Source organism: Homo sapiens, chromosome 8, assembly GCF_000001405.40.
Source record: "Homo sapiens chromosome 8, GRCh38.p14 Primary Assembly".
NCBI classification, from domain to species: domain Eukaryota; kingdom Metazoa; phylum Chordata; class Mammalia; order Primates; family Hominidae; genus Homo; species Homo sapiens.
The window spans coordinates 102,882,262-102,899,414 of NC_000008.11; the positions used below are offsets into that span (position 1 = coordinate 102,882,262).

Below are 17,153 nucleotides of genomic sequence, written 5' to 3' on the forward strand. Positions count from 1 at the left end.
ATTCAATGCAATCCCTATGAAAATCCCAATTTTTTTTTTTTTTTGCAGAAATAGAAAAACCCATCCTAAAATTTATATGAAATCTCAAGGGCCCCTGAATAGCCAAAACAACTGATGTAGAACAAAGTTGGAGGGGTTCACACTTTCTGATTTCAAGACTTACTACAAATCTACAGTAGTCAAAACAATATGGTACTAGTGTGAGGACATATAGACCAATGGAATAGAATAGAGAGCCCAGAAATAAACCCTCACATATATGGTCAATTGATTTTCAAGAAGGATGCCAAGACCATTCAATGGGAAAAGGACAATCTTTGTAACAAATGGTGCTGGGAAAACTGCATATCCATATGCAAAAGAATGAAGTTGGATTCTTACCTTACATCATATATACAAATTAACTCAAAATGGATCAAACATCTAAAGGTAAGACCTACTCTTAGAAGAAAATGCAGGAGAAAATATGACATTGGATTTGGCATATTTGTTTGATGTGATACCAAAGACAAAGGTAACAAAAGAAAAAACCAACAGTGGACCCCATGAAAACTAAAAACTTTTGTGTGCCGAAAGACACTATCAATAGGGTAAAAAGGCAACCTACATAATGGGAGGAAATATCTGCAAATCATATATCTGATAAGGGATATGTTTGGGATATTTCCAGAATATATAAATTACTTTTTAAAACAAAAATATACTATTTTTGTGAGGTAAAAGATAATTAAAATTTAGAGGTTTACTCTCTCTATATATATATGTATTTGTATATGTGTGTATGTGAGTATACAAATAGACCCCAACTTATGATGGTTTGACTTACAATTTTTCAACTTTATGATGGGCTTATTAGGGTAGTAAATGCATTTTTGACTTAGACTATTTTCCATTTACAATGGGTTTATTGGGATGTAATCCCATCATAAGTGGAGCATCATTTGTTTTATAGAATATATATGTTGAGGAAGACATATATAAGTTAGTATAATAAGCATCATGAGATTAGTGGCCACATCTGGCATATGTAACATTTTTTCCCACAGTGCCTTGTAACACAATCTTGACCCACAGTAAGTTTTCAATATTTTTTAAAATTAAATGAATGAATGACAGAGAAAGAATATTCTGTTTAATCCCTACATTACTACCAGCATTATTTTTCTAAAATTCAGATCTGTTTGTGCTGTTCCTTGTTTAGAAATATTGTGTGACCTCACAATGCCTTTAGAATCTGGTATGAACTCCTTAGATGGTGGGCAGACCTTCCCTCCATCTGTTCTCATGCTCAGCCCCCACATGGTACAGTAGAAAAGTGGCTTCAGCTTTCATGTACCTTGGTCAAATAGGGGCAATAGACACTACCTCAAGGATTGTTGAAAGGATTAAATGAGGCCGGGCATAGTAGTTCACGCCTGTAATCCCAGCTCTTTGGGAGGCAGAGGTGGGCAGATCACTTGAGCTCAGGAGTTTGAGACCAGCTTGGCCAACATGGTGAAACCCGATGTCAACTAAAAATACATAAATTACCCGGGTGTGGTGGCACGAGCTTGTAATCCCAGCTACTCGGGAGGCTGCGACAGGAGAATCGCTTGAACCCAGGAGGTGGTGGTTGGAGGTTGCAGTGAGCCAAGATGGCACCACTGCATTCCAGCCTGGGTGACAGAGTGAGACTTGGTCTCAAAAAAAAAAAAAAAAAAGACGAAGAAGCAGCCAGGCACGGTGGCTCATGCCTGTAATCCCAGCACTTTGGGAGGCCAAGGAGGGAGATCACCTGAGGTCAGGAGTTCGAGACCAGTCTGGCCAACATGGTAAAACCCCATCTCTACTAAAAATACAAAAAATTAGCCGAGTGTGGTGGTGGGCACCTGTAGTCCCAGCTACTCAGGAGACTGAGGCAGGAGAATCACTTGAACCTGGGAGGCGGAGGTTGCAGTGAGCCGAGATTGCGCCACTGTACTCCAGCTTGGGCAATAAGAGTGAAACTCCATCTCAAAAAAAAAAAAAAAGATTAAATGAGGTGTCACCTGAAAATTTCCAGTGTATAGTTGTGATGAGTCAATTAACGTGTTTCCTTTTCACCCTCCTGCATGCTGCTCTTCAGCACACTATACTCTTCACACTTTCAGAGTGTACATGTAATTTCACTTCTCCATATTTTGTTCATGCTTTCCCCACTGCTTTGTGTGTGTCTTCCCCATCTTCCACCTCTCTATAAAAATTAAATGAAAGCTTCAAGACAAGTCTCAAATTGCACTTAGTAAAAGCTTTCTGACTCCCCCAGGAGGGCTTAATTCTTTTTTTATGCTTTCATGTAATTTTATAAGACAATTTCTAAGAAACTTTCATAGACTATCTTATATTACAGTTATTTGTGGACACAACTTGTGGACATGTATCTTAAGAGCCCAACACAATATTAGTTAAACTGAGTTGATTTTTTTGACCAGGAAATTTGGATCTTAAATCTCATAACTGAAATATATCATGAAATCATCCAAAGCATGCTCTCTCTATACATAGTTCCTCTCTTTATGTGATAACACCCAGCCTGGCAGTATAGCACCCTTGCCACCCACAGCTCTCTGGAAGGTACAGCTGTACAAGATAACATGAGGTAATGTGACTTCTGGGGATAGGTGGTGGTGGGGAAGCCCATCACTGCTTAGACCAGCGTCGAACATGCCTGACCCAGGTGGAGTAAATTATTTGCTCAGAAATGACTTGTGTGGTCCAGGTTCTCTCAGAGGAGCCAGGCTAGTTCATGAAGAAGAAGTTTAGTGTGTATTGCCAGTTGATTGTGAGTACTGGAGCTCAGTGGTCTTCCTTGTCTAGATCCAGAAAGAGCAGCCATGTTGTGCCTCACACAGGATGAAGGAGCCGAGGAAGACAGACAGAATGTGGGAGAGGCTGGAGCTGGCTGAGAAGCAAAGACAAGGGGGACACAGAGGGACAAGCCACCCTGTCCCTGAGAATTCCCCAGTTTTCTGGCCAATTTGGGTGAAACCCAGCAACTCTTTGTGTTCCATCCGTCGATACTGTGAGGTCTCTCTATACACTCAGTAAATGCTCCTTTTTACCTCACTGGACTAATGCTTTTTAGAGTCACATGCATGCTGACTTCAACAAAGCAAATTGTTTATCTGAATCAACTCTGCCGTGTACCATGTCCAGTCACTTGAATTTCTATTTCATCTTTGACTCTCCATTTGCTAATTATGACTTTGGGCAAATCTTTTGTTCACTCTGTGTATTTGTCCATTTTCACATTGCTGTAAAGATACTGTTGAGACTGGTATCTTTATAAACTGGTAATTTATAAACAAAAGACGTTTAATTGACTCACAGTTCTGCATGGCTGGAGAGGCCTCAGGAAACTTACAATCATCTTGGAAGGAAAAGGGGAAGCAGGGCGCATCTTACATGGCAGCAGGCAAGAAGAAGAGAAAGGGGTAAGTGCCAGATACTTATCAAACAAGCCCATCTCATGAGAACTCACTATCACGAGAACAGCAGGGGGAACTGCCCTCATGATCCAGTCACCTCCCACTAGGACCCTACCTTGACATGTGGGGATTACAATTTGGATTGCAATTCAACATGAGATTTGTGTGGGGACACAGAGCCAAACCATATCACTCTGTGTCTCAGTTTCTTTAGTAGGTAAAATGCAATAATTTCATATGGTGCTTTATCAATTTCCATACATTATCTCATGTGAATTTTTAAAAAGTTCTTATGATACAGGCTAAGAATTTTTCCCCATGTTTTACAAACAAAGGAACTTTCCCAAGATCTCACAATTAAGTCCTAGTGAAATGGGACTCAAACACCAGTCTCTGACTTCTATCTACTCAGGTGGTCATCAACTCTACCTCAGAGAATATAAATTTTTTTTTAATGGTAAGTCTTTGCAGATTGATTAAGATCCCCTTGAGAATTTTTGGTAAAAGACTTTGAAGTCATAAGAGGTAACAGTGACTTCATATTATATTTGTATGAGTCCTGTTTCAAAATATATTGATAATGTGGCTGGGTGTGATAGCTCATGACTGTAATCCAGCACTTTGGGAGGCCGAGGTGGGTGGATCACCTGAGGTCAGGAGTTCAAGACCAGCCTGGCCAACATGGCGAAACCCCATCTCTACTAAAAATACAAAAATTAGCCAGGCATGGTGGCACATGCCTGTAACCCCAGCTACTTGGGAGGCTGAGGCAGGAGAATCGCTTGAACCCAGAAGGCAGAGGTTGCAGTGAGCTGAGATCATGCCATTGCACTCCAGCCTGGGCAACAAAGTGAGACTCCATCTCAAGATAGATAGATAGATAGATAGATAGATAGATAGATAGATAGATAATGAATTCTATGATAGGACCACTAGAGTGGAGATCTGTAGTTCTAATAAAGTACTTTATTTCTAAAAATATGCATAATACTTGCCTGTGTCATGGGCTTCATGAAGAATTCCAGTTACTATCTGAAAGTTTAATTGCAAGGTTTGGAGCTCAAGATGTTACTTATCCTCATGGGCAGTACCTGTTACTTCCCCACTGTAAAATATGCTAGCTCAGGTCACAAGGAACTTTGAGTGCTAGGATAGTACCCCACGGTCCAGTTCCCCAGAACTTCTTCCCAGTGTCTCCACAGCCACTCACACAGCCTGAGCAGGTCTTGCCACTGGCAGCTCTCTTCCCCTACTTCCTCCAGGCCAGGGGTTGGCCTGATTCTGCTTAGAGCCTGCATGCGGCTCCCTCAGAGCCTTGGGGTGGCCAATCTTTGCTGCTTCCCAGAACCACCTTGTACTCTTCCATGCAGAGCCCTGTTGAGTCACCATGCCTTCCTCCAGCTGCTGCCACAGACCACATGGCTTCTTTCTCAATTAACTCTGAAAGAGAAAAGTACGTTATGCAAACCAGGTGGGAGCACAAGAGCGCAACCCCCTTCCTCCCCAACACAGAGAAGCACACTGGGGCTCCTTGTGTAATTTAGAGGTTAACTAACACATCATGTTGCAATTGTGCCTATGTGAAAAAGAAATGGAAGGAGGAACCAGGTTTGGAGCTGATTCTCTGCTGCAAGGGCTTACCCTCAGTCTGACCTGTGCAGTAAGACTGAGAGAAGCACTAAGGGTATGGCTGGAAAAGATCATAATATTAAAACTATTTTACTATAATGATGATAGCTACCATTGTAGTGATATGCAATAATATTAGTAACACTGAAGTCTTTACTATATGCCATCCTGTGTGTTAAATCTTTTATGTATGTTGTGTATATAATACATGTAAAGCCTTGTTGTTGTTGTTTTTGAGACATAGTCTCACTCTGTCGCCCGGGCTGGAATGCAGTGGCGTGATCTCAGCTCGCTGCAACCTCTACCTCCCAGGTTCAAGCAATTCTCCTGCCTCAGCCTCCCGAGTAGCTGGGACTACAGGCGCCTGCCACCACGCCCAGCTAATTTTTTTGTATTTTAGTAGAGACAGGGTTTCAATGTGTTGGCCAGGCTGGTCTTGAACTCCTGAGCTCAGGCAATCTGCCTGCCTCGGCCTCCCAAAGTGCTAGAATTACAGATGTGAGCCACCGCACATAGCCCATGTAAAGCCTTTAACATAGTGCCTGGCACAAAGTAAGTGCTCAATAAAAGATAATCATAGCATTATTATTTTGTTTATCTTCACAGCCATCCTGAATTATTTGACAAGCCTTTGCTCTTCAGTCAGTCGTTCCTTTAGGGAATGTTTATTGAGCCTGTACTATTTACCCAGCACTATATATATATATATATATATATATATATATATATATATATATATATATATTTTTTTTTTTTTTTTTTTTTTGAGACAGAGTTTTGCTTTTGTTGCCCAGGCTGGAGTGCAATGGCTCGATCTCGGCTCACTGCAACCTCTGTCTCCTGGGTTCAAGCAATTCTGCAGCCCCAGCTTCTCAAGTAGCTGGGATTACAGGCGCCTGCCACCACGCCTGGCTAATTTTGTATTTTTAGTAGAGATGGGGTTTCACCATGTTGGTCAGGCTGGTCTTGAACTCCTGACCACAGGTGATCCGCCTGCCTCAGTCTCCCGAAGTCCTGGGATTACAGACATGAGCCACTCCACCCAGCCTTCCGAGCACTATATTAGGCGCTGGGGATACTTAGAAGAGTGAATGCCCTTTCGGACATGGGTTCCAATCTGGCTTAACCACTATCTTTCTGGGTAACTTTGAGCATGCTTCTTAAGCTTTCTGAGCCTGAGTTTATTCAACTGTTAAATATGTACAATAATTTCTATGTCATAAGATTGTTGATAGGACTGGAAACACATGCAAAGGGCTTAGCCCAGCTCAGTGTTCATACAAGGAGAAGCTCCTCAGCCAGGCCTGCTGGCTCACGTCTGTAATCCCAACACTTTGGGAGGCTGAGGCAGGTGAATCAATTGAACTCGAGAGTTCGAGACCAACCTGGGTAACATGGCAAAACCCTATCTCTACAAAAAATACAAAAATTAGCTGGGTGTGGTAGTGCCTGCCTATAGTCCCAGCTACTCAGGAGGGGGAGGCTAAGGTGGGAGGATTTCTTGAGCCTCCGAGGTGGAGGTTGCAGTGAGCCAAGATTGTGCCACTGCACTCCAGCCTAGGCAACAGAATGAGCCCCTGTCTCAAAAAAAAAAAAAAAAAAAAAAAAATTCAAGCCGGGTGCGGTGGTTCATGCCTGTAATTCCAGCACTTTGGGAGGCCGAGGCGGGCGGATCAGGAGGTCAGGAGATCGAGACCATCCTGGCTAACACGGTGAAACCCCGTCTCTACTAAAAATACAAAAAATTAACCGGGCATGGTGGTGGGCGCCTGTAGTCCCAACTGCTGGGGAGGCTGAGGCAGAAGAATGGCATGAACCTGGGAGGTGGAGCTTGCAGTGAGTCGAGATCGCATCACTGCACTCCAGTCTGGGCAACAGAGCAAGACTCCGTCTCAAAAAAAAAAATTATTTACTATAGAACTTGTATATGTATTCTTGAAAAAGAATTCAAAGGGAGAACCTCTTCCCAGGGTCACAGAGTGATCAGTGCCACAGCTTGGACTTGGAGCCTTAGCTTATCTGCCATCTTCCTACTGCATCAAAGCAGAGATTGCCACGTGATTGCCCAGTGTGATTGAAAGTTTGAAGTCCGTATTTCTCTGAAAACTTTGGTGTATCTAGATTCTGTATGTCTCTTGGACAGATGAAGAGCTGCTGTACACAGAAGGGAGATTTTTTTTTTTAATTGAGGAATCTAACTCAAGAATAAATTCAAGGCCAGGTGCAGTGGCTCACGCCTGTAATCCCAGCACTTTGGGAGGCCGGGGTGGAAGGATCACCTGAGGTCAGTAGTTCGAGACCAGCCTGACCAACGTGGTGAAACCCTGTCTCTACTAAAAATACAAAAATGAGCTGGGGGTGGTGGCGTGTGCCTGTAGTTCCAGCTACTCAGGAGACTGAGGCACAGGAATCACTTGAACCTGGGAGGTGGAGATTGCAGTGAGTTGAGATCATACCACTGCACTCCAGCCTGGGTAACAGAGCAAGACTCCATCTCAAAAAAAAAGGAAAAGAAATTTGGATCCTTTAGAAATCTTCAGACACTTGGCATAACATGAAGTTAAAACAACACCCCACTTAGTTCCATGATATTTCTGATGAATAAGAAATATGACACCACAGAGTGAAACCAATATTTTTAAAAACCTCCTGAAGAGACTTTTTTTCTTTGTTGATTACCATCCAGAGACAACATTTGTTTGAAACTTTGAACAGAATCAGTTTGTAGGGATGAAACCCTCATTCTTCCCCGCCTGGGCCCAGACTTTCCATATCTTGTACTCTGAGAACCTTAAAGTCTTGAAATGATTTGCAGTCCCAGCGAAGAAGCTAAAATCAAAACTGATTTGGGGAAAAACCGTTTACTTTCTGACCTCTTTGTACTCTTCAGAGAATTTTTGTATGCTTGTTTATTTTCTTAATGTCTCTTGGTAATGTTTTTTCCTGTTTTGGTTTCATATATGAAATGTTCCATCTGTGTATTCATTTTCTGGATTTATTCCCTAGAATTTTAAGTAAGAGTGTTTCTCAAACTTTTTTTTTACTCCAACCCACAATAAGAAATATATTTTGCATGTTAACCTAAATACACATATATTTACATATATATCTAAAACAAGTTTCATGAAATAATACTCTTGCAATGAGGTATGCACTATGGTTTTTTAAAATTCTATTCCACTTTATATATACAAAAGTTGGGACAGAGGTTCAGGAGCAGGGAAGGGATGAATAGGCAGAACACAGGGCACTTTTAGGGCAGTGATAGATGCATGACATTATACATTTATCAAACCCCACAGAACTGTACAACAAAAGAGTGAATCCTCATGTAAACTGTGGACTTTTTATTATTATTTTTTAAGACAGGGTCTCACTCTGTCACCCAGGCTGGAGTATAGTGGCACAATCTTGGCTCACTGCAACCTCCACCTCCTGGATTCAAGTGATTCTTGTGCCTCAGCCTCCTGAGTAGCTGGGATTACAGGTGCACGCTACCATGCCAGGCTAATTTTTATATTTTTAGTAGAGACAGGGTTTCACCATGTTACCCAGGCTGATCTCAAACTCTTGGCTTCAACTGATCTGCCTGCCTCGGCCTCCCAAAGTGCTGGGATTATAGGTGTGAGCCACCCACCATGCACGGCCAAACTATGGACTTTGGTTAATGCTAGTGTATCAATATTAGTTCATTAATTGTATCAAATATACTTTCTGTGCAATTTTTGTGTTAACCTAAAATTGTTCTAGAGCATATTATAAATATTTGTAAAAGTAAAACACGAAGTTGGATTTAGCCTACTAAAATTGACTTTACTATCCATTAATGACTTGCTTTCCATGGTTTGAAAACTTGTGGCCGTGGCCTGGTGGGGAGTACCCTGGGTTTCTCTTAGGTTGGTGCAAAAGTAATTGCGGTTTTGCCATTAAATGGCAATTACTTTTGCACCAACCTAATAACTACATCCCAGCCTCTGTCACTCTATAGAGCCTGCCCTTCAACAAGCCACATAATAATGTCTCTCAGCTTTCTCATCTGAAAAATAGAGTGTTTGATCAGATGAATGCCAAGGTCCTTTCCAGATCCAAAATATTATACCTGTAAGTATAAATTCTCATTTTAAAATGTCTTAGAGTAAAAGAAAAGTCATGAAGCATGAATTGTAAATTATGTGCATGTTATTTAGGCATGTTTTATGTTTTATAGGCATCAAATGGGTACTTTTCATCTTATTTAAAATAAGTAAAATGAAAAGTAATTGTTCTCCAGCAAAATATATAAATTACATTTCTCTCTGAGTTCCTGATTCAAGATCTCTGTAGAAGAAGAATAACAAAGAACACCTAGGAATGATACAAATGATACTTTCAATTTTGGCACTTGTCTGCCCTACTGCCATGTCCTCATGAGAGTATCCCTGAACTCAGTTCTCGTTGGTCATTTGACGTTTGCTGGGAGCGTACTATGGGCGAGGTCTTATGCTGAGGGTGAGCCTAGTGGTGTCTCACTTCTTGTAGCTTGGGTCAGGAAATGGAGATCAGCTACTGTATCCCAGAACCTTCTTGCCTTCCCAGTCCCAAGGCAGGTGCTGTGGGAAGAGTGTGTATAAGGTCTGATGGGGACAGACCTGGGGTGAATCTCAGTGGCACTTCTCAACAGCTATAGATCCCTAAGTAAGTTATCTAATCATCATCCCCACAGTGTTCTCAGATGAAAATGGGGGGTAATACCCCATCTCATAGGAGTTTAAAAGGATTAAATAGGGAATGTAGCTATCATCTTGTGCCTGGAATTCTGCAAAGCATATGAAGGTGCCCTTGGAACTTCCTTCCCATTTTTCATATTTGCTCTGCCACCTCTACACCCAGCCCCGCTTTCTGCAACCAATTGTATTATAACCCCCTCCCAAACACTTAGTGCATCCTCCCACTCATGTAATTTGTTTACCTTGTTTTCTATTTATTTCTTTTGAGATGGGGTCTCTGTCAGCCAGGCTGGAGTGCTGTTGCATGATCTCAGGTCACTGCAACCTCTGCTTCTTGGGCTCAAGTGATCCTCTTGCCTCAGCCTCCTGAGTAGCTGGGACCATAGGCACACACCATCATGCCCAGCTAATTTTTTGCATTTTTGTTAGAAACGGTTTCACCAGGTTTCCCAGGCTTGTCTTGAACTCCTGAGTCAAGTGATTCGTGTGCCTCAGCTTCCCAAAGTGCTGGGATTACAGATGTAAGCCACCGTGCTTGGCCTTACCTTATTTTCTAAGAACTGATGACCATAAGTAAGTTTTGGCACACACCACTTTGTATGCTTCGTCTCTCATCCCACATGTCCGTGGAGATAAACCTCATTGACATGGAACCTCAGAGGCAGCTTGCAGAAGGAATAATACATCACAACAAGATGGCAACACTCTTTAAGAGCTGCATTTCCAGTCCTCTGGCTTTGTTTCAGTGGGGCTGCTTTTAGGTTGATTGAATAACTAGCAGCAACGATAGCACCTAAATTATTAGTTAATGAAAGTCTGTAATTTGCTAGGCATGTGCTAACCAGTTTACATAAATCATCTGAAAGCCTCACAATAACTTTGAAAGGCTAGGTTTTCCCTTTCACAGATGAAGAAGTTGAATATTTGATTTATTTATTCATTAAGGAAGAGATTTTTAAATAAAAATAATTTTTTTGTAGAGATGGGGATTCCCTATGTTCCCCAGACTGGTCTCGAACTCCTGGGCTCAAGCTATCCTCCTGCCTCAGCCGCCAAAAATGCTGAGATTACAGGTGTGAGCCACCATGCCCAACTAAGGAACAAATTTTAATGGGTGCTTCTTATGTGAAAAACATGGGATTAGACACTGGGGATAGAAAACCGAATGACACATAGTCCTTGCTGTTAGGAAATATATGGTCTGTTGGGAAATCTGGCAGATCCACAGACAATTACAATCCTGAGGTAAACCTTGGGAAGGGTTAGAAAATACAGAAGATGGGCTGGGTGCAGTGGCTCACACCTGTAATCCTAGCACTTTGAGAGGCCAAGGCAGGCATATTGCCTGAGCTCAGGAGTTCAAAACCAGCCTAGGCAACACGGTGAAACCCTGTCTCTACTAAAATACAAAAAATTAGCCAGGCGTGGCAGTGTGCACCTGTAGTCCCAGCTACTCAGGAGGCTGAGGCAGGAGAATCGCTTGAACCCTGAAGGTGGAGGTTGCAGTGAGCCAAGATAACGCCACTGCATTCCAGCCTGGATGGCAGAGCAAGACTCCATCTCCAAAAAAAAAAAAAAAAAAAAACCACGGAATATGACACCTGACCAGACTGAGGTTTGCATAGGAGGTGAGGATAGAAGCTGTATTAGTCCATTTTCACACTACTATGAAGAAATACCTGAGACTGGGTAATTTATAAAGGAAAGAGGTTTAATTGACTCACAGTTCTGCATTGCTAGGGAGGCCTCAGGAAACTTACAATCATGGTAGAAGGCAAAAGAGAAGCAGGCACCTTCTTCACAGGGCAGCAGGACAGGGAGTGCAAGCCAGGGAAATGCCAGACGTTTATAAAACCATCAGATCTCATGAGACTCACTATCACGAGAACAGCGTGGGGGAAACTGCCCCTATGGTCCAATTACCTCCACCTGGTCCCACCCTTGACACGTGGGGATTATGGGTATTGGGATTACAATTCAAGATAAGATTTTGGGTGTAGACACAGCCAAACCAAATCAGAAGCCTCAGGTCTTTTCTTAAACCTAGTTAATCTGAAGTCTGTCCCCTACCTTCCCCAACCCCCACACCAGATTAACAAACCTAGAGCAATTCCTCCAAATCTCCATAAGTACTTTCCTGCCCTCAGTTAACTAAGCTAGTAAATACCAATGCCCAAGGACCATGTGAATCTTAACAGGACCCTCCCACAGACAACATGTACTGAAGCTGGGAGGACCATATAGTTTATCACAAAAATGAAGACACTTTTGAGACTGAAAGGGGCCCTATTAACAATTATTCCAGGATAACAGGTATAAACTAGGTATGTCCTAGCAACCTGGGACACAGGTTTAGGTTAAGTATAACCTAAAGGAAGGCCTGTAACGAAAAGACTCAGGCTGAATGCTAACCAGTGGGGAAAACACTGGGGGCAGTAGTTCCTTGATGTCCCTCAATCCTCTCCACTAAGCAGTGACATGGGCTTAAATCTGGGGCCTACTTTCCCTAAGCTCAGGGAAGCACTGCCTGACAGTGGATGTGGGGGTGGGGGATGGTTGCTCTAGCAACAATCACAGAGGTCCCTTTGGAATTGTTACCAGGGTGAACTCACCAGCCAGGGGAATACCCCAGAAAGAGCTGCCAGTAGGAGGAGGGCCAGCCTCACTGGTGATTGGAGTCCAGCAGTCCCACTGATTGGGAGTGCTGAGCCAAGCCCATGTCGTGCTTCGCTGATGCATGGCTGGGCTGAAGAAAGAGCTCTTTGAATTTTTCATAGAAAAGACTGGTGCCCAAAAGGCCAGGGCTCGAGAATGAGGCTGCCTCAAGCACAGTGCTTGGCAGGACACCAGGGCTGAAAGGTACAGCAAAGTCCTCCCAGAATCGCTTGTCAGAGCAGGGATTTGCATCACAGACTGGCCACTGCAAAGACAGATGGGAACTCACAGGTTTTGTGTGTGTGTTTGTGGTTCACTGCTGATGGACGCATGTCAGAAGCCACCTGAGCCTTGGCCCAGCCTTCATGTGGAGTGAAAACCCAGACCTGTGTGAGCAGCAGGTACTTGAAGCAAGAGAAGCAAGGCCGAGCCTCCAGGGCTTTGTCAGAGGCTCCTTCCTTCCTGGAATCCAATTGTACAACCAGGAGCCAGAGGTCTTGGTGGCCGGATGTGGGTCTAATCCTGGTTCCATGGCCTCCCAACTGAGTGAATGAGATTATAATGATAAAATATAATTTACTGTGTACCCGGCACTGCCCTAAGCACTTTGTGTTTCTTATCTCATTTACTCTTCACAGAAACTCTTGGTACTATTACTATACTTGATTTCTAGAGAAGAAAACTGCGGCACAGGATAGAGTTGGTTTGCCAAGGTCAGGACATACACCTCACTGTGTGAGGTTAGAAACTGAGCACTGGACCCCCATCCTACGCTGCCTGTTTCATGAATTGTAAAAGGGGGGATAAATGTAGCACCTCCTCCCTAGGTTGTTGTGATATTCAAGTGGGATAATCCATTTACAGCATGGGCATGGTGGCTGCCTGTGAAACAGTGGGAGCTACTGTCAGTTTGATTAGTTCTGGCCTCTCTGCAGCCTTGCTACTCTCTGTTTATTCTCAGCAGCCTTCAGACAATTTTCTTTTCTTTTCTCTTTCTTTTCTTTTCTTTTTTTTTTTTTTTTTTTGGAGACGGGAGCCTCATTCTGTCACCCAGGCTGGAGTGCAGTGGCGCAATCCCGGTTCACCGCAACCTCTGCTTCCCTGTTCAAGCAGTTCTCTTGCCTCAGCTTCCTGAGTAGCTGGGATTACAGGTGCATGTGCCACCACACCTGGCTAATTTTTGTATTTTTAGTAGAGACTGGGTTTCACCATGTTGGCCAGGCTGGTCTCGAACTTCTGACCTCAAGTGATCCACCCTCATGGCCTCCCAAAGTGCTGGGATTATAGGCGTGAGCCACCACGTGCAGCCTATTAAGACAATTTTCTGTTTGAACTTCACAGGACTTTCAGCTTCTTGGGTTGGGACACATTGTCTATTTGTTGCGTGTGTGGAGAACAGTGGACAGCAAAGATCAAAACCCTTAGGGGAGAGGGGCAAGAGAGAGGATATGAGTGGGGATTCTCTGCTCCCCTGAACAGTATTCCAGGATTCCTTCACCAATTGAAGTTCAAGTTTGGTCCTCTGAGCAAAAAGTTTAGAGAAGTTCCTTTATGCGTTTATTTAAATTTAGAATAAACATCTCTGTAGCAATAACAACAAAGTGAACACTCCCGGTTTTGTTCTTTTCTTATTTTTTTTGTTTTGTGGCTCTCATGCACACATGGAAAAACAACACAAAACAAAACCAGATGAACTGAAACCGTTTCTCTATCCAAGGCTCCCATATGTAAGAAAAGGAAAGATTTTTTCCTTCTTGGGCAGGGTTAGATGGTGTTGGTCGGGGGGAGTTGGGAGGGAATGGTTCCACCATCCTGTTCCAAAGCTCCAATTCCCCTCCAGTACCAAAGCTGAGTTATCCAAGAGAAGCCCCAGGGAAATTTGCTCCCTGTATACCAAGGGGATTCGTGAATCTCTCCTCAAGGTAGAGATCATCAAGGATGTGCCCAGCCACTCCATGGAGAGAAGCTGCTGCTGCTCACAAAGAACATTGCATGGTGGATTTCCAACTTGGAACTTACATGTGGGGAGGCTCTGGGACTCCTTCCTTTATTCCTTTTCCAGTCCTATTAGTCTCAGATGCATGTTTCCTGGTCACTGAGGGAGCTGCAGGCCCAAGGACCATATCTGCTTACACTTACCCACAGTGTTTCACTTGCTCTAGCCTGAATGTCAGCATTCCAGGACCACTGAGGGAGGGACAGAGCAGAGAGGGCTGGGTCAAGTGGGCAGCTTCCAGGAACACCCCGGGAGACCTGTGGGTAGCTGGGCTGCACTAGAGTCTGGGCACAGCAGCTCTTCCGAACTGCAGACCCACTCCCTCCCTTTAGTATTGTCCTGTCTCTGTAGGCTTGAGGATTAAAGGCATGAAAAGAGTTCACAAGCCAGTGGCTTAAGACTTCTCTTGATGTTCCCAGACAGCTCTGTTCAGAGGCATTAGCTGTCAGAGGGAATATTCTGCAAGATTTGAAGCTGTGGCATGGTTTGCTCGTCCAACCTTCTTTACTCCCATATTTGGCCTTTGCAGTTGACAAGTAGAGCTGGTTTGCCTTCCTCCAAAAATGTCCATGGAGAGGAGCAAAGAAGACCTAGGAACAATGAAGGGAAAGGGAAATAAAAAAGGGGAAAGCCAATACCAAAGAAACGGGTTAGGAAATTTTCCAAGGAAGGTTGATCTGAATGAAAAAAAAATCACAAGTTTTCTTTTTAGAGCAGATAATGTATCTCCGTGTGTGTATATATTACAGCCTCACTTAGAAATGCCACAGGGGGCTGGGTGCGGTGGCTCACTCCTGTAATCCCAGTACTTCGGGAGGCTGAGGAGGGTGGATCAACTGAGGTCAGGAGATCCAGACCAACCTGGCCTACCTGGTGAAACCCCGTCTCTACTAAGAATACAAAAATTAGCCAGGCGTGGTGGTGTGTGCCTGTAGTCTCAGCTACTCGGGAGGCTGAGGCAGGAGAATCACTTGAACCCAAGAGGTGGAAGTTGCAGTGAGCTGAGATCGCACCATTGCGCTCAACCCTGGGCGACACATCAACTTTCATAAAGCCAGGCAGGTGGAACTTAACACTTCCTGGTGAAAAGGACTTTGTGGGTGAGGTTCTTGGACAGCTGTCCCAGGGAACTCCTGGGAGAAAGATCTGGTTCACCCGAGACTGGTGGAAAGCAACCTGTGCTAAAAACTTGCTTTCAGCCAAGAAAGCCAGGATTTGGCTAAGAGATAAGCGTGGGCACGTTTGACCCTTTTGTGTCTTTCATTTGATATTAACATAGCTAGACAAGAGGGAGAAGGGTGACCTCAAAGTGATAAGGTCTGTTTCCTTTAGAACTAGAGGACCCAAAGATCTCTTTGTTTTGTTTCTGCCTGGAAGACAAGTAGAGCTCATTCCAGTTCTGTAAAAGGTCACCAAATACCCTGCAGTCTTGTTGTAGTAACTGTTTCTGTGAACTTGCTTCAAAGGAAGCAAACATACTATTTAATACTGACCAAAGACACCTGGGGTTGTTTTCTGCTTCTTGTTGTTTGTTGTTTTATTTTGCAAGAGCAGATAATGATCAGTTTAGAGTCTGGTTTCCCTGGTGCCAAAAACAAACCCTAGTACCTCCTGTTTCTGGCTCAACTGTCCCCAGCCGTCTCAAGTGATCCAGTTGGAACGCGGAGAACAGAGAACAACTGACTTCCCCTTCCCCTGGGTGGTGCGTTAGAGTTCTTTCCCAGATGACACACAGTATCTGAGACTCTGCCATGGAGGAATCCACTCTGTGGGGACCTTCTCCTTTCCAGTCCCCAACCCGAATTTCTTCACAAAGTAGCAATAATTAGTTCCTAGGGCACATGGTGCTTTGCAGTCTGCACAGCTGAAATGGCTAGTCACAAGATGGTTTGTAATTTTAAATATACCTGTGCCCCACCCAGATTTCAACACATTAGGAATTATTCCACTCCTACAACCTGGTGACTGGGAGGAAGGAGAGAAGAGGGGTCAGGATTCAAAAGAGCAGCTGCAGGGCTCAGATCTGCTGTCCCCTGCCTGCTAATAATAGCTCCCATTTTAGCCAGCGCTCACTCTGCCAGGTATGTGCTAAGCACTTCTTTGTTGCCTCTGATCCCCGAGACAGCTCTGGAAGATGCAGGTGATTCCTATTTTGATTATGGGGAAACTAAGGCTTTGAGAGATGGAGGAATTTGCCTAAACTCGCAAAGCCAGTAAAAACTGGAAGCGGGTCTGAACTTCCTTCTGGTTCTCAAGCACTGCGCTTTTCATTCTCACACTGTACTGCTGCTTCAAGCTGATGAATTTAGCAAGAGTGGGTACCAGGAAATGCCAGTGAGACAGGAAGGGAACAACTGCCAAAATGCCAAACCAAAAGGGGTTTGAAACCTGAGAGTTGGCAGTTCACCACTGCAAAACCACGGGGCTGCGTGGAGGTATTCATGGGACACCGAGTGGTATCACTAGCAGCGGACTCTGCATGCTTACTTAGAGCATAAAAGGATAGCACCCTTGGCCATTGCCTGACATGAACTCAGTTTGGAAATTGCAGAGGTGTGGAGAGCCATGGATGGGTTTTATAATTTATTCTAATGTAATCTCTGTGCTAAAGGCTGTTTGAAAAAAATAATGAAGTTGATGTTGCTTAAGTTATATGCAAATGTAAACTGGTCTTCCTTCAAGATGTTTGGAATGGAATGAATGCCCTTCCCCTGGGTACCT

General features: G+C 43.8%; 2 long non-coding RNA genes across 4 annotated transcripts in view, besides 6 other annotated features; one reads left to right on the top strand and one right to left on the bottom strand.

The window, feature by feature from the left end:
• MAILR (macrophage interferon regulatory lncRNA) overlaps positions 1-17,153 on the top strand; it is a 113,606-nt gene that overhangs the window by 17,991 nt on the left and 78,462 nt on the right. The gene's annotated exons all lie outside the window — the stretch shown is intronic.
• LOC124902000 (uncharacterized) lies at positions 884-11,603 on the bottom strand. Of its 2 annotated transcripts, none has more exons than XR_007061041.1 (2): positions 10,024-11,603; positions 884-4,886 (listed from the first exon to the last, which is right to left on the bottom strand). It is a non-coding gene; the product is annotated as an uncharacterized LOC124902000 (long non-coding RNA). The 2 variants fall into 2 exon arrangements; XR_007061042.1 differs by having other exon boundaries at positions 4,393-4,886; positions 11,542-11,603.
• Positions 1,902-2,101: an enhancer, noted in NCBI's record as "active region_27780". NCBI's record gives its function as "activates an Ori minimal core promoter by ATAC-STARR-seq in GM12878 lymphoblastoid cells {active_cell/tissue: GM12878}" and the evidence as "EXISTENCE:reporter gene assay evidence [ECO:0000049][PMID:35858748]".
• Positions 2,752-2,941: an enhancer, noted in NCBI's record as "active region_27781". NCBI's record gives its function as "activates an Ori minimal core promoter by ATAC-STARR-seq in GM12878 lymphoblastoid cells {active_cell/tissue: GM12878}" and the evidence as "EXISTENCE:reporter gene assay evidence [ECO:0000049][PMID:35858748]".
• Positions 3,552-3,601: a silencer, noted in NCBI's record as "silent region_19449". NCBI's record gives its function as "represses an Ori minimal core promoter by ATAC-STARR-seq in GM12878 lymphoblastoid cells {active_cell/tissue: GM12878}" and the evidence as "EXISTENCE:reporter gene assay evidence [ECO:0000049][PMID:35858748]".
• Positions 12,644-13,191: an enhancer, noted in NCBI's record as "H3K27ac-H3K4me1 hESC enhancer chr8:103907133-103907680 (GRCh37/hg19 assembly coordinates)". NCBI's record gives its function as "activates a minimal SCP1, AML or CMV promoter by ChIP-STARR-seq in naive H9 embryonic stem cells {active_cell/tissue: H9 hESC(naive)}" and the evidence as "EXISTENCE:reporter gene assay evidence [ECO:0000049][PMID:30033119]".
• Positions 13,707-13,836: a silencer, noted in NCBI's record as "fragment chr8:103908196-103908325 (GRCh37/hg19 assembly coordinates)". NCBI's record gives its function as "represses an EF-1alpha promoter that drives an FKBP-Casp9 reporter gene in an ReSE screen in phorbol 12-myristate 13-acetate-treated (for megakaryocytic differentiation) K562 erythroleukemia cells {active_cell/tissue: K562(+PMA)}" and the evidence as "EXISTENCE:reporter gene assay evidence [ECO:0000049][PMID:32094911]".
• Positions 16,900-16,959: an enhancer, noted in NCBI's record as "active region_27782". NCBI's record gives its function as "activates an Ori minimal core promoter by ATAC-STARR-seq in GM12878 lymphoblastoid cells {active_cell/tissue: GM12878}" and the evidence as "EXISTENCE:reporter gene assay evidence [ECO:0000049][PMID:35858748]".